This window comes from Homo sapiens, chromosome 2 (assembly GCF_000001405.40).
Source record: "Homo sapiens chromosome 2, GRCh38.p14 Primary Assembly".
NCBI lineage: Eukaryota > Metazoa > Chordata > Mammalia > Primates > Hominidae > Homo > Homo sapiens.
This window is the reverse complement of record NC_000002.12, coordinates 84,795,268-84,811,943: the sequence shown is the minus strand read 5'-3', so window position 1 is coordinate 84,811,943 and position 16,676 is coordinate 84,795,268. Positions and strand designations below refer to the sequence as shown.

The window sequence follows — 16,676 nt, the reverse complement described above, 5'->3', positions numbered from 1 at the left end:
GCTACTGGTCATTTTTGCTCAGAGGGTTCCCCCAAACCCCAGAGTTAGTGCAGAAAGAGGAGATTCCTTTTTTTTTTTTTTTTTGAGACAGAATCTTGCTCTGTCGCCAGGCTGGAGTGCAGTGGGATGATCTCGGCTCACTGCAACCTCCTCCTCCTGGGTTCAAGTGATTCTCCTGTCTCAGTCTGCCAAGTAGTTGGGATTACAGGCATGTGCCACCATGCCCAGATAATTTTTGTATTTTTAGTAGAGATGTGGTTTTGCCATGTTGGCCAGGCTGGTCTCGAACTCCTGACCTTAGGAGATCTGCCCACCTTAGCCTCCCAACATGCTGGGATTACAGGTGTGAGCCACCGTGCCCGGCTGGAAAGGGGAGAGTCTTAGATGAGACTAATCTTCCAGCTGGCATCAGAGGGTCTCCTTGAACTGGAAACACCTCCTTAAAACATGTCTCCAAGCCTCTCCTTCTCTCACCAGAAGATGGAGGCAGGCCACAGTCCTGGGAGACACTGGGCTGGAGTGGAGTACAGGGCGATGTTTGCCACCTGGCTAAAGACAAGGGAGAGCATATAGTTGGGTTATGGCCCCCATGGGTCGCAGTGTTGTGAAAACTGCCATATATTGGGAAAATATAATAGGAAGACGTTAGAGGCAAAATTTATGTTGACTAAGCAACCAAATAAGGCCTGGGACCACATGCACAGCATCTTAGCGACAGGCATTGTGTGGATGAAACAAGGCTACGTGTCCTTCCATTCTTTCACAGATTTATTTGTTGGTTCCCTTCTCCCTGTACCTCTTTTCACAAGAGGTAGTGGTAGAAAAAAGAAGTGTTTTACTTAGATTTGTCCTTAGGATCTGAGGAACCATCTGCAGCAGAGTGCAGGAAAGAGGCCCTTAGCCAGAGCCAAGACCATCCTCCATGATAGACCTGGAAATAGGAAGAAGTAGCAGAAGACTCATCTAAAATGCAGAGAGAACACAAAAAATGATAGAGGTGGAGGGAGCAGACTGCTGAGATCTTCAAGGTCTGCTTAAAATAGAAAGAGGTCATGTTGCAGTCGATTCTCCCAAAGGAGGCAGCCAACACACAGATGTATTAAGTGGGAGAAAGAGTACTTCAAAGGCTTTCCTTCTCCTATGGCTCGAAGCCTACACAGGGTGGCCTTGTCACTCCTAGGACCTGTCCTATCCCACGGTTCTGTCTGGAGGAGAGTGGGTTCACCAGGATGGCATTCCCCAAGACTCCTGGGTGCTGCTCCCTTCCCCTGGCTTTCTTATTGCCACCATAGTACTGCCTGGCTGTTCCCAAGGGGAAGGGAAGGTGAGGCTGGGAACAAAGCCATGGCAAGGCAGGACCAGGCCTGAGGTCTAGGACTAGAGGTCAGGTGAGGAAGGCCTCTGGCAATTACAGCATGCCGTGGTGAGCACCTCCCTTCTGATGGGAATGCTTGGCTGTGATTCCTGATGGCCCTGCAGGTCACCTGTCCCTGGGCTCCTCCCCTTATGCTTCCATTAGGGGAATTCCTCTGTTAGTGGTGGACTGGGGTTTGTTTGACCAGAAAAAGTGACCAAAGGAGACCTGAGAGTCACATTTGTTCACTTGTACATTCAAATATTCACGGAAGATTTAGTATGTCAGTTACTAAGGAAACAAAGATGACGAGTGTAACATCTCCCTTGTTTTTAAGAAATTCTTTGTTAGAGTAGCCATACTCATAGGGGGGAAATTACAAAAAATGTAATGAATACAGTGGTGGACACAGAGACCTGAGATGATGGGGCCTTGAGGATGGGACCCTAATTCATCTGGCAGTAGAGGGAAGGGCTGGTCTCCAGGAAGACATTATGGATAAGTGACATCTGGACTTAAATTCAAGTGGGTGAAAGTTCATGATGTGGAAAGGGCAAGACATAAGCTGGTGTTCCTCAGAACAAAAGCACCTCCTTAGTGTTAGCTGGGCACATAGCACCCCATCGAGAGACTCCTTTCCCAGCCACCCTTGAGGCTGGGCTGTGGTCATGTGACCAAGTTTTGGCTAATGGGATATAAGAAGAAAGGATGTATACTACCACTGGATCACATTTTTATAAGGAAGCTGCTTTTCCTTGCCTCTCTCTTTCCTGCTTCCCACTGGCTGGCAAAAGGGGACAACTGGGGCAGCCACCTTAGACCCAGACACAGAAGTTGTCTGTTGAGACTGGAAGAGCCAACCTGTTTATCCCTGGATGAGCTCACAAAGCAGAATTAACTACCTGCCCTAGACAGGGCTCCCTCAGGGCTGTTAGGGGAGAGTAAAGTGAATTTTTCTCTTGTTTTGGACTATGTTATGGGGGTCTTTATCATAGCAGCTTAGTCTGTACCCCAATTCATTCAATATAGAAGGAAATAAGCCCTGACCTGGTGACCTGACCAGGAGACTGAGAGAGGAGAGAGACTTAGCCTGCTGACTTTGGTGCATACCTGACTAGATGCCATAGTCCCAAGGTGAAGACTACATACTCAGCTGACCCGCCTAACCAACAAGCCTAGGTATTGCCAGCCAAGCAGCAACTTCCGGAGACTTTGCCTTTCTGATAGGGAACAGAAATGGTCTTTAGCTGTAAAAGATCTCTCCCAGTTCTCCCCCAATCTTATCCCCAAGTCTTGACCTTGAAGTAGGTGTTTGGTTCCCTGCTTAGCAGTAACACTTTTCCTGTCAATGCTCAATATTTTCTAATAGTTATTCTTTTTCTCTTATCAAAGTTATGCACAGAGAAACTAGGAAGGCCTTTGACCATCATTACAAATGCAAGGCAATGCAGAGAGAAAGTATCTATGAACATAAAGCAGAAGATCAAACAGGTGTTTGCAAATTTTAGTGACATTAAAATTATCTGGGGAGTTTATTTAAAATTCATATTCCCAGGCCCTGCTTCAAGAAATTCTAACTCAGTAGGTCTTGAGTGGGATCAAGTAATCCACATGTTGAACACACCACAGGGGACTCTAATGCAGGCATTCTGTGGCCCACACTTTGACAGATTATGGTTTTCACAGTCTCGCTTAAAGACTATGTTATGAAATGCAAACTAGACATTAGGAACAAACACTGAATTACTCTTAATTGAGTGCTTAGGTCTCTGAACAATTTCTAGTGAGTCAATAGAATCTAAGGGTGTAAGGATAAGGAGGAGACTGAGAATTTGTAATGTTACATATTCACTCCATCATTATTAGAAAATGGGAATACAGATTCATTAGAGAAGGATAAATTCATTTTTAGACTCATTGGGCTTGAAGAGTTGTTAGTGTATCCAAATGGAAATGCTGAAGTGATGGGAATGGAAGAATTTCATATTATACAACTCTCTACAAAGCTTTGATGCTCAATAGCAATGATGAAAGTAAGCTCTCATACATGAATTAACTTCAGCAGGTTGTTAAACCGGTCCACTTCCTGTCCAAGAACGGTGGTCAAGGAGTTCAGACGTCCTTGAAGATCCTTGACAAAAAGGCTCTCAGAAGCACCCTCCATTTCCAGTTTTTCTGAAACATACACAGCGATTCCTCAGGCCAGTCACCATTGATTTGTTCTCACAATATTGCTAAGGCAATGTGCTTATCTTAACATTTTTAAAAAGCCAGCTTCTCTCATTGTTTAAGCCAGATACATAGGATTTAAATGTGATGTTTCTATAATTTAGAATGCTTTTGTGATTCAACTGTGTTTATATAGAAGCAATCACAGAAAATTATGTTTAAATTCATGTGTATCAGTGTATCAGGGCATACACACACACACACACACACACACACACACACACACACATATATATACACTTTTTTTTCTCAAACATTAAACCATTGCATTTTGTTTCTTCCCTTAAAGCATGTTCCCCATGGGTATTTTCATCTTCCCAGCCAGTGTGAGCTATGTGATCTATGGCCCTGGGACAGGAGAGGTAGGTCCTTGTTGCTTAAGTGAGATCATAGAAAGACTGGCTGTGCTAATGTAGAAGGAGGACTGGAAAAAGGAAGGAGAAGCCTGCTTATTTTCATTCTGGTTGACTGTGGGGAGGAGGTGAGGGGTTGAGAGGGAAGAGGATGTAATGGAAGGTCAGCATGGCTCAGTGGTATCTGCAAGTTTGATGAGGGGTTTGAAAGGTCTCCAATGTGGAATGAGGGGGTTGGCAGGAGGGCATAGGAAGGTGTGCCTGGCTTTGGCTGATTGGGAGGCAGAGCCCTGAAGGCTTCAGTGGTAAATGCTAGCAGGATGAAGCGGTTGCCTGGCAGACAAGGAACATTCCAGAGACTAGACGGCCCAGGGACCCTAAGTCTCCCCCTCTACCATACAAGCGTTTAAATCTCCCACTTCCCTGCTCACCTGCACTGCATAGGAAAGGTTGGGGGCAGGAGACTGAGACAGGAGAGAGACTTAGTGTTTATCGCATGTTACTGGGCATTATTTAAAGGGACTGACTGCATTATTAAACAGGCCCATAGTTCAAACTGGATGGAAAATGTAGCTCTTCTTTCTCCCTACAATCCACCAAATGCAGGCTCAGATGAAGAACGATATGAGCTACGAAAGAGGAAGGAACAGCCTTTTTCTTGCGTATTTGAGAAAAGTATGTGTAAACAAATGGCTATGACATACATGTATCAAATTCCTTCTTGACCACACACATTTGGCTGCTGGACAAAAATCCCACAGCAGTGCCAATGAGTCTAATCTCTTGGGTCCGCTGTGCTGTGGTTACATGTCCCTGGTCTTCTCTTTCCACCATTCCTCTCAGGGCTATTTCAAACCCTCAGTTCTTTTGCTGAGCCAATTGTTTTCCTGCCCCTTCAGTCTCAGCAGATGATCTGCTTAGCATTTCACAGTAAAAGTACAAGCTTTATGAAGCCTGGAGAGAAAACCCTCCTAGGTGTCAGTGGGATTCTACCAAACAAGTGCATGGTCTCTGCAGCTATCCATTCATCTCTCCATCCTTTTCCCAACCAGCACTCTATCTTATATTTATTGATCTTATATTTAATGACTCTGTTTGCTTCAACAACAGAATTCTCTACCCAAGTAGACATTCTCTTGAGGGCCTGCTTCTAGGAGGCAGATAACTGACTTCTGAAACCACAAGGCTCCTTTTCTTCCAGGGGCTTTAAGGGCATTAGCAGGACTCAGTTGCTGTTTTTTCTGCCTCAATTTTCTTTTTCCTATAATGACATCTCTTCCAACCATGAATAATGAAGACATCTAAATCTCCTATCGATCTAAGAAAAGTGTTAAAATAGATCTCTTGTGATCATTCAGGAAGACCTTTTTTTTTTTTTTTTTTTTTTTTGAGACTGAGTCTTGCTCTGTCACCCAGGCTGGAGTGCAGTGGTGTGATCTCGGCTCACTGCGAGCTCCGCCTCCCGGGTTCACACCATTCTCCTGCCTCAGCCTCCAGAGTAGCTGGGACTACAGGCGACCGCCACCACGCCCGGCTAATTTTTTGTATTTTTAGTAGAGATGGGGTTTCACCGTGTTAGCCAGGATAGTCTTGATCTCCTGACCTTGTGATCCGCCTGCCTTGGCCTCCCAAAGTGCTAGGATTACAGGCATCAGCCACTGTGCCCGGCCTGGGAAGACTCTTTCACTTATCAGAAAACAAGGTGAAAGTAATTTAGCCATATGTCTTCTAAGTGGAGAAAAAATTTAAATGGATTCTACAGCAGGACTGTCTAGTAGAGCTTTTAGTGGAATTGTTCTCTATCTCTATACTGTCCAATATGATAGCACTTGAAATGTGACTGGTACAAATGAGGAAATGAATTTTAAATTACATTAAGTTTAAATTTAGGTAGCCATATTGGCTAGTGGCTATTTTCTTCCACAGCACAGGTCTAGAGACAGTAGAATAATGAAACCAAGGGAAGCTCAGGAAAGAGTCTGGTTAAAGTTACATTGAGCTGGAAACCAATTTCCTCCTAATGCTTCTGGCAGTTGAGATGTTGAGATGCTGTAAGCTTCTAGTCTATAAATGAAGAGCTCCATGTCAAAAGAGCTCTTTAGGTTAAAAAAAGTCTACATAATAAGCAGGTTTTGACACCTGTTTATCACTCAGTTCTCTGAGTTTATTCCTAAAATTCCCATTACATACAGATTCCTAGAATTATTTATTACCTGGAACTCTGGTCTGGACAGAAGCAACAAGTTCTTGAACAATTTCGTCATTGCTTTTTCCCTCTCCACCAGTAGATGACCTTGGCTGAACCTCAAGTATGGTGTTGATTAAAGTGCTGGTCTCTTTGTACTGTAATGGCAATAAGAGACAGAACAGTGAAGACTCAAATTCTCAGAAAACAAATTTGCAGCACACATAATTATTTACAAAAGTAAAGGCAGTTCTCTAAAACCATATTATTTATTTTCACTTTATTTTATTGTGGTAAGAACAATTAACATGAGATCTACCCTCTTAACAAATTAAGACAGTAATTATTGCTGACTATAGGTACAATGTTGCACAAAAGATCTCTAGTGCTGATTCATCTTGCTTGACTGCAACTTTATGCCTGTTGATTAGTAACTCCCCATTTCCCCCTCTCCCCAGCCCCTGGCAACTACCATTCCACTCTTTAATTCTATGAATTTGACTATTTTAGATAACTCCATAAAAGTTAAATCATGCAGTATTTGTCTTTTTGTGACTGGCTTAAGGAAATTTTATTTTCTGTCTTGGAGGTAGAGTTGGTAAAATGTGGTCATTGGAAATGCCTAGTACATAGTTGTTACTGTTATACTAAAAATTTTTTTGTTGAGCAACAATGTAAATGTACTTAATGGGCCAGGCCCAGTGGCTCATGCCTGTAATCCCAACACTTTGGGTGGTCAAGGCAGGAAGACTGCTTTAGCCCAAAAGGGATTGCTTTAGCCCAATAGTTTGAGACCAGCATGGGCAACATGGTAAGACTCTGTCCCTATAAAAAAAAAAAAATTAGCTGGGTGTGGTGGTGTATACCTGTGGTCCTAGTTACTTGGGAGGCTGAATGGGGAATAGCTTGATCCCAGGAATTAGAAGTTGTGGTGAACTATGATCTCCCCACTGCACTCTAGCCAGGGCAACAGAGGGAGGCCCTATTTCAAAAGGAAATAAAATAAAAATAAATAAATAAATGTACTTAATGCCACTGAACTGTATGCTTAAAAATGATTAAAATGTATATTTTCTGTTATACATATTTTACTACAATAAAGAATGGTTAAACATTTTTAAGTTGATCAGTTAAAAGAAATTATGAAAGTGAGGGAAAAATCATGAGAACACAGTTTCAGGTCATTCTTTTATTCAATTAACTTTTTTTTAAAATTAGAAAAATACGGCTTATTACAGAAAAATTTGAAGGTAGAAAAATATAAATAAAAAATATTCATGATACTTACTTTCCAGATATAATTACTTATAATGAAGTAATATTTAATTAAATAAACTATAGCTTACTTCAACTTGGACACTTTCTGTATATATGTGCATAAAGTTTGCAAAATTGAGCTAATAAATTTATGTAATATTAATTCATTTTCAATATTATGAGTCTTCTAATATCACTGAAAAATCCTCATGAACCATGCTTTAAGTGACTGTGATAATTTAAGTGACAATGTGATACTAATTATGGTATAAATGCATTGTAATTAATATGAGTTACTTATCTATTTTTTGGAAATTTCTAGTTTTTTGATTTTATTAGACTTTTTTTTTTTTTTTTTTTGAGATGGAGTCTCACTCTGTTGCCCAGGCTGGAGTGCAGTGGCGTGATCTTGACTCACTGCAACCTCTGCCTCCCAGGCTCAAGCGATTCTTCTGCCTCAGCCTCCAAGTAGCTGGGATTACAGGCACCTGTCACCACGCCTGGCTAATTTTTATAGTTTTAGTAGAAACAGGGTTTCACCATGTTGGCCAGGCTGGTCCCGAACTCCTGGCCTCAAGTGACTCACGTGGCTTGGCCTCTCAAAGTGCTGGGATTACAAGCGTGAACCACTGTGCCCAGCTGATCTTATTACACTTCGGGAATAGAATATGTTTGTATGAATTTCATCCACCATTTTTGAAATTCTTTAAATGATAGATTAAGTAGAGGCGATATTTTAAAACTGGGTATTACCATATTAATTTCTAAAAACATTGTATCAATTTATATTTCCAACAATAGTGTATCATAAAGCCTTTCTATGTCTTCGCAAGAATTAATATTATTACTTAAACAAATGTTTCTAATTTAATGGATAAAATAGTTTCTCATTTTTTGCACTTTAAGTATTTAAATATTGAAAAATATGTTCATTGACCATCTATATTACTCCTTTATGAATTATTCATAATGTTTTTTTAACATTTTTGATTTTTAGCATTTTATTATTTATTATTAATTTATAAGATAATTCTATAATATAGAAAGCTAAATTTTCTGTTTTTTGTTTCAAAAATGTTTTGATTTGCCACTTGTCTTAATTTTTAAAAAAACATTTTAGATTCAGAGGGTACACGTGCACATTTGTTACACGGATATATTGCATGGTGCTGAGGTTTGGGCTTCTATTGAACTTCATCACCCAAATAGTGAACATAGTATCTAACAGGTTGTTTTTCAACTCTTTTCTTCCTTCCTTTTCCCCCCTTTTGGAGTCCCCAGGGTCTATTGTTCCCATCTTTACGTCCATGTGTACCCAGTGTTTAGCTTCCACTTGTAAGTGAGAACATGCAGTATTTGGTTTTCTGTTTCTGCATTCTTCGAGTTTAGTTTGTTCTTATTTTTCCAGTTCCTTTGGGTGCAACATTAGGTTGTTAATTTGAGGTCTTTCTATTAATACCTTTTTGATGTAGGCAGTTAGCTTTATACACTTTCCCCTTAACACTGTTTTTGTTGCATCTCAGAGCTTTTGGTGTCTTGGGTCTCTTATGTTCATTTGTTTCAAATAATTTTTTGATTTTTGCCTTAATTTCTTTGTTTACCCAAAAGTCATTCAGGAGCAAGTTGTTTAGTTTCCATGCATTTGTGTGGTTTTGAGAGTTCCTTTTGGTATTGATTTCTAATTATATTCCACTGTGTTCTGAGAAGATGCTTGGTATAATTTTGATTTTTTAAATTTGTTGAGACTTGCTTTATGACCAAGCATGTGGTCAATATTAGAGTATGTTTTGTGTGCAGATGAGAAGACTGTATATTCTTTGGTTATTGGTGGAGTATTCTGTAGATGTCTATTAGGTCCAATTAGTCAAGTATTGAATTTAGGTCTAGAATTTCTTTGTTAATTTTCTTCCTTGATGATCTAATGTTGTCAGTGGAGTGTTGAAGTCCCCCCACCCCCTGCTCCTCTGATTATTGTGCGGCTGTAAAAGTCTTTTCTTAGGTAGAAGTAATTATTTTATAAATCTGAGTGCTCCAATGTTGGGAGCATATATATTTAGGATCATCAAATCTTCTTGAATTGAATTCTTTATCATTATATCATGCCCTCTTTGTCCTTTTTTATTCTTGTTAGTTTAGGGTCTGATTTCTCTGATACAAGAATAGCATCCTCTGCTCTTTTTTATTTTGTTTGCATGATAGATCTTTTTCCACCCTTTACTTTGAGCCTATAGTTGTCATTACATGTGAGATGGGTCTCTTGAAGACAGCAGAACGATGGGTCTTGTTTTTTAATTCAATTTGCCATTCTATATCTTTTAAGTGGAATGTTTAGGTCATTTATGTTCAAGGTTAATATTGATATGTGAGGTGTTGTTTTTGTTGTGGTGTTGTTGGCTAGCTGCTTTGTAGTCCCGATTGTGTAGTTGCTTTATGCAGTCTGTAGGCTATGTACTTATGTGTGATTTTGTGGTTACATGTATTGTTCTTTCATTTCTATGTTTAGGATTCCCTTAAGCATTTCTTGTAGAGCTGGTCTGCTGGTGCCAAATTCCCTCAGTGATTACTTGCTTGGGAAAGATTTTATTTGTTTTTTGTTTATAAGGCTTAGTTTGGCAGGATATGAAAGTCTTTGCTGGAATCCCTTCCCTTCCCTTTCTTTCTTTTTTTCTTTTCTTTTTTTTTTTTTCAGAGCCTCACTCTGTCACCCAGGCTGGAGTGCAATGGCGTGATCTCAGCTCACTGCAACCTCTGCCTCCTGGGTTCAAGCAATTCTCCTGTCTCAGCCTCCTGAGTAGCTGGGATTACAGGTTCACACCACCACGTCCAGCTAATTTTTTGTATTTTAGTAGAGACAGGATTTCACCGTGTTGCCCAGGCTGGTCTGGAACTCCTGAGCTGAGGCGAACCACTTGCCTCAGCCTCTCAAAGTGTTAGGATTACAGGCATGAGCCACTGCGCCTGGCCCAGGAATTTCTTTTCTTTAAGAATGCTAAAAATGGGCCCCCAATCTCTTCTGGCTTCTAAGTTTTCTGCTGAGAGTCTGCTCTTACTCTGATAGGATTCCCCTTATAGGTAATATAGCCCTTTTCTCTAATGCCTTAAGATTTTTTCTTTGATTTGACCTTGGAAAGTCTGATGACTATGTCTTAGGGATGGTCAGCTCATACAGTATCTTGCAGGAGTTCTCTGGATTTCTTGTATCTGCATGCCAACTTCTCTAGTGAGATTGGGGAAATATTCCTGGATTATATACTCAAATATGTTTTCCAGTTGCTTACTTTCTTTTTTTTTTTTTTCTTTTTCTTTTTCTTTTTTTTTAATTATACTTTAAGTTTTAGGGTACATGTGCACATTGTGCAGGTTAGTTGCATATGTATACATGTGCCATGCTGGTGCGCTGCACCCACTAACTCGTCATCTAGCATTAGGTATATCTCCCAATGCTATCCCTCCCCCCTCCCCCCACCCCACCACAGTCCCCAGAGTGTGATATTCCCCTTCCTGTGTCCATGTGATCTCATTGTTCAATTCCCACCTATGAGTGAGAATATGGGGTGTTTGGTTTTTTGTTCTTGCGATAGTTTACTGAGAATGATGATTTCCAATTTCATCCATGTCCCTACAAAGGACATGAACTCATCATGTTTTATGGCTGCATAGTATTCCATGGTGAATATGTGCCACATTTTCTTAATCCAGTCTATCATTGTTGGACATTTGGGTTGGTTCCAAGTCTTTGCTATTGTGAATAATACTTTCTTTTCTCTCCAAGGAATGATAATAAATGGTAGATTTAGTCACTTTACATAATCTCATATTTCTCAGAGCCTTTGCTCATTTTTTAAAAAATTCTCTTTTCTTTATTTTTTTCTGACTGGGTTGATTCAAAGGACCAAACTTTGAGCTCTGAAATTCATTCTTCTGCTTGGTCTAATCTGTTGTTAAGACTTCCAGTTTCATTTTGATACTCCCGTAGTGAGATTTTCAATTTCAGAAGCTCTGTTTGGTTCTTTCTTAATATAGCTGTATCATCTTTCAAACCTTGGATTATTTCTCTGGCTTCTTTGCATTGGATTTCAACTTTCTCTTGGATCTCATTGAGTTTCCTTGTCATACATATTCTGAATTCTGTATCTATTATTTCAGACATTTCAATCTGAATAGGATCCATTGCTAGGGAACTAGTGTGATCCTTTGGAGGTAACAAAGCACTCTGGCTTTTTGTATTGCTGAAGTTCTTGTGCTGATTTCTTCTTATCTGAAGGAATTGATGCCTCTTTATCTTTTTGAATTTGCTTGTTTGGATGGAGTTTTTTGACATTTTATTCTTTTTTTTCCTGGAGGATATGACTGTGGTGTATGTTGTGTACAATCAATTGGCTTTGTTTCTGGGTGCTTTCAGAGGGGCAAGGCTCTATATGGGTTCTTTGGTTACATAGAGGTTTGTGCAGTGTGTTTGACAGGCATTGCTTGTAGCAATGTTATTTTTGTTTGGTATTGTAATTCAGGCTGTAGTCCTGGCTTAAAAGAGCCAGCACATAGGCTCTTAGCTGCAATAGCCCTCAGTGGGGGTGGAGGCAACAGAGAAGCATGCTCCTCCAACTCACAGTTACTTTCAGCAGGGTGGGTCCAATGGAGAATCACAGAAAAGCAGCTTACTGAAGTACACACACTTACCAGGCCCCAACAGGAAGGGCTCCAATGGGAATGTGGGTGAGGGTGGAAAATGAGAGACGCTCCCTCTTTAAGTCCATTCCTAGGCCTTGGTGGTGTCTCTTTTAGTGGCTGGCATCACACCCCCATTTCCTTTTTCCCAAGTGGGGCTTTGGTGGAGTGCGCTCCCTCCTTTCTTAGGGGTGCTTTGCACCAAAGACTGTCTCTAGAAGACCATTTACTCCTTAGGTAACTGCCTATCCCCTGTGCTTGCCAAAGTTAGAGTGAGTTGTGGAGTATGTCTGCAGGTGGTTTGGTGATGCAGTTGTTCAAAGGTGGAGACTCCCTGGACAGGTTAGTGGCACTGCCAGTGTACAACCAATATGGCACCTGCTGCCTAGGCTTCTCAGCCCAGCGGATGGTTGTGGGGCCTGCCCAGCTCATGTTCCCTGACCTGGTGGGTCTCCCTCCAGTCTCTGCCCAAGTAGCAGGCCCAACCAGCTAGGCTTGTCCCAAGCCATTTTTGTCCAGATCACTGAGCCAGCCCAGGCATTCTGGGCTATGGAACTCAGTAAGGGAAAAGTGGTGGCTGTTAGGCCATGCTCATCCTGGAAAAAGAGGGGTGGGCTGGGCGCAGTGGCTCATGCCTGTAATCCCAGCACTTTGGGAGGCCGAGGCAGGTGGATCGCCTGAGGTCAGGAATTCGAGACCAGCCTGGTCAACATGGTGAAACCCTGTCTCTACTAAAAACACAAAAATTAGCTGGGCATGATGACAGCCACCTGTAATCCCAGCTACTTGGGAGGCTGAGGCAGGAGAACTGCTCAAACCTGGGAGGTGGAGGTTGCAGTGAGCTGAGATTGTGCCACTGCACTCTAGCCTGAATGACAGAGCGAGACTCCGTCTCAAAAAAAAAAAAAAAAAGGAAAGAAAAAAAGAGGAGTGACCAGCTCCCTTGCTGGCATACAAACCTATGCCATATTCTTCCTTGTGTTCCCCTACTCGAGCTCAGGCCACAGATATCAACTTGATATCCCTGGGTGGTGTGCTTGAGTCCTGGGGAGTTGGGACCAGAACTGTGGATTTTTCCCCTGGCCCCTAGGGGTCAAGCACTGGCTGTGATGGGGGTGGTGAACTACTCCTGGGCTGCCAATAAAACACTCAGGCAGGGCCGTGGAGGCTGTGCTGTGGGCACTCTCCCACAGGAGCGGCCTCAGAGGTGGTCTTGGGAGGGGCCAGCAGGCAAAGGGGTGCATGGAATAGATGCACTTTGGGCCTGTAGCAGTGGTGGTGGGGCCTGTCTTGAGGCATGAGCATGCTCAGGACCTGCTCTTTCTTGGCCTGGCAGATAGCAGGAGCTGCAGCCACTCAGTGTAACATGGAGAGCTTTGGGGGATGAGTGTGGTAGTGTTATCCTGCAGCTGCACAGCACAGCAAAGCCTTCTGGGCTGTGTGTGGGTTCAAACTGTGCCTCTGCTTATTCTTTGGGCTGCTCTGCCTGCCAGTCCAAAGGTCTGTGGGGGTCACAAGAACTCCTGTGTCTAGGATCTCAGAGGTCCATGGCAGGAACGTGGTGCCCTGGGGTTCCTTCACTGACTCCTTCTTTAGGTCCAGTCCAAGTCCAGGGGTTGCTTCTGGTGCCTGGTGACTCTGAGCAGGCCTAGGTCATGGGAGAGCTTCGAGTGCATGCTGAAGAGCTTGGACTACCCTTAGGTAATGGTGCAGCATCACAAGGTCTTACACAGAGGAGTAAAACAACCCAGTTTGCTCTGGGTTATGATCTGGCACTGTGATCATGCTTTTAATAAACCATGTTTTAATTTATCTGCTTTGGACATTTGTCACTGTATTTTTATAATTGAATCACGTATGGATCCACAGACCTTTGTGTAATATGACACAAATGTGCCCAGCCTGGTAGAAGAAGGGCAAAGGGAGAGGGTTATATTATTATTGAAATCCTCATGTAATTGTTGGACTGTGATCAGGTAGATTATGGATGGACTAGGCAGAAGGCCTGGAGATGTAGGGGCTTGGCCAGTGACAGGGAAAATGCATGATGGTCTTAGGATTCTGTGAAGGACCCAGAGGTAACAGGCTAAATTGGAACCAAATGTTGAAGTCAAGGTGAAACAATTATTTTATTTGTTTATTTAGGAAGATTATAATTTCCAGAGTGAGTGGGGGTGATTATTGATGTTTTGAGTTTACATACACAACATAAATATGTATTTTAAGATGAAAGGCCACATACCTGGAAGACTAGATTAGCATTTTCATGCATTCCAAAAATTTCTGGGTCATCGATCAAAGGCAGATTTTCAATGTAGTCCTTAAACTCTTGTAGGCTGTCAGCCATGGGTGCAAAATAGATGCCTGTTATTAAAAACACAGAAGACAAATATGTCTCAAATAGACTGGCTTTGTACTGCCAAGTTTGATTTTTCTTTGTGTGGTGCAGATGGTGGCTGCAATCAGCTGGCTCATGTAGAAAGGGGGATTGTTTTTCCTAAGCTTTCATGCTTTCATTGCTGTGTCTAGTTTTGTTATCTTTTCTTCAGGCCTTGAGAATCTCATTACTGTCCTAACTTGTCAGATGCCTTCTCCAGCGCATTTAAAGATGCGGAGAATCCAGGGATATGCTGCTGAAAGGTGTAACTCATGAAGGGCTCCAAATTTATGTTGAAAGGTGTAACTCATTAAGGGCTTAAATTTATGCTTGTGTTAGAGATTGCTTTTATATTTGTTTGATAAACAACAACAGCCCTCTCTAATTGCCCAAACTAAAAGCTACATTGAAATCTAGGGTTATTCAACTATCTATAGTGATTGCAGGATATACAGTTGAATCCAGCTCTGACTGATGCTCTATGGTAGGAGCTTTTATGAGCTTGTACTAATCAAGTTGCTCCTTCCAAGGGGATCACTCAGGACAATTAATCTGTTTGCTGTCTGACTCATAATAAACTATCTCCAACTCACAGATCTGGTTTTTACTCAACTTGCTGTAATAGACATTTTCTTTTCTTTATTTTTTTAAAAACTTTTATATAGTAGTAATAATAATATTTACTATGATTTAGAGACTGGGTCTTGTTATGTTGCCCAGGCTGGATTTGAACTCCTGAGCTCAAGTGATTCTCCTACCTCAGCCTCCTGAGTATCTGGGACCACAGACATGTGCCACTATGTCTGGATGTTTTATTTGATTACATTCAAAACATACTAGAACATAACATTGAAAACAGATTTAGACACAGTGCAATAAGCTTTAAAATCGAAGTAATTCAAAGTAGTTACCATGTACTATGTATCTCTGTGATCCTACTATCAAACCAGCTCTGAAGGTGGCCAAGCATGGGGATAGGGTGTGGCTATAACAGCGTTGTGGAGACCTGACACAGACAGCCCCTGGGTGGGAAACTGAGAGATGCTGTCAACATCTTCTTGGGAAAGGCCTTTTCTGTAATATTGAAAAGTCATTCACCTGATTCAGAGTATTTATAATCTTCTTCTAATGTTTCAGGAGAAAAAAATCTTTTCAAGATAGTACGAAGGCATCTTTGGTCCCAGCTGTCTGTGACTCTACCACCATAAGTAATTTCACCTGAAAAGAAATTTGTATTTTGAAATTATTGCTGTTTTTAAAAAATTGATAGGCATACCTAATTTTAAATTTTTAATGTTTATTTATACACACATTTATTTGGTACTGAAAATGGAAAGCACACAACAGAATTTCCTTCCACCACCCCCTCAAAGATAATAGAAGTCAATTTTTGAAAAGTAGAAAAAATCTACTATATGTACTCTACTCTCATTATTTTGCTGTTTTAGTTTTCAGAGACTAAAGCCACTGAGCTCTATTTACATATTTCTTTTTTGTTTTTGTTCTTTTGCTTTGAAATACTGATTTTGAGTCTTATCATTGATTGCAGTATTCTAAAACATACACACTTTCCATCAAACAGTGCTTCTTTCGGAGACAATGAGTAAAATGGAATCAAGTATTTGCAGCAAGGCATTCAACCTCTATACATTTCTTATTAATTATTGCTATCAGGGTAAGGAGGAAAGATAGATTCAAAGCAAAAGGGACAATTCACTTCACAGTAATTATAAGGAATTATAACTGATTGGTATCCCATCTCTCTTTCCACAGAGAAGCTACTTTCCATGTGCCCCATTGTCATCCCAAAATTATGTGTAGCAAGGAAGCACACTGGAATCTATTGCTGATATAATTTCTTTAAAATTCCAGATCCATTGCTACAATTCACCATTCACCACTGTAGTGTTCCTGGAAGGATTTCACCTGTGATACCTACATTGTCAACCTCTGAATCCTCCAACTGTTGATCCATTCTTATCTCTATTTCTTCCATCATGTCAGGAAGAAAAAATTGTTTTTTCTTTCTCTTTCTTTTTGTTTTGTTTTATAATTAGTTTATTTTCCAATTTATTAATCATATGAATCTAGACTTTATTTAAATATGAATAACATTTCATTGAATATTTACAGAGCATGTACACAAACTAATAAATTTATGCACTAAACAGATTAAATTTATTTTATTTTATTTTATTTTATTATTATTACACTTTAAGTTTTAGGGTACATGTACACAATGTGCAGGTTAGTTAC

At 40.9% G+C, this 16,676-nt stretch overlaps 1 protein-coding gene across 12 annotated transcripts in view; it reads right to left on the bottom strand.

The window, feature by feature from the left end:
- DNAH6 (dynein axonemal heavy chain 6) overlaps nt 1-16,676 on the bottom strand; it is a 360,018-nt gene that overhangs the window by 7,646 nt on the left and 335,696 nt on the right. For all 12 annotated transcript variants that reach the window (XM_011532650.4, XM_011532649.3, XM_006711956.3 and 9 more), the window contains 4 exons: nt 15,519-15,638; nt 14,286-14,407; nt 6,150-6,279; nt 3,402-3,529 (listed from right to left, as the gene is read on the bottom strand). In XM_011532650.4, the coding sequence (XP_011530952.1) occupies nt 3,402-3,529; nt 6,150-6,279; nt 14,286-14,407; nt 15,519-15,638 (500 nt within the window). The remainder of the gene's footprint in view (nt 1-3,401; nt 3,530-6,149; nt 6,280-14,285; nt 14,408-15,518; nt 15,639-16,676) is intronic.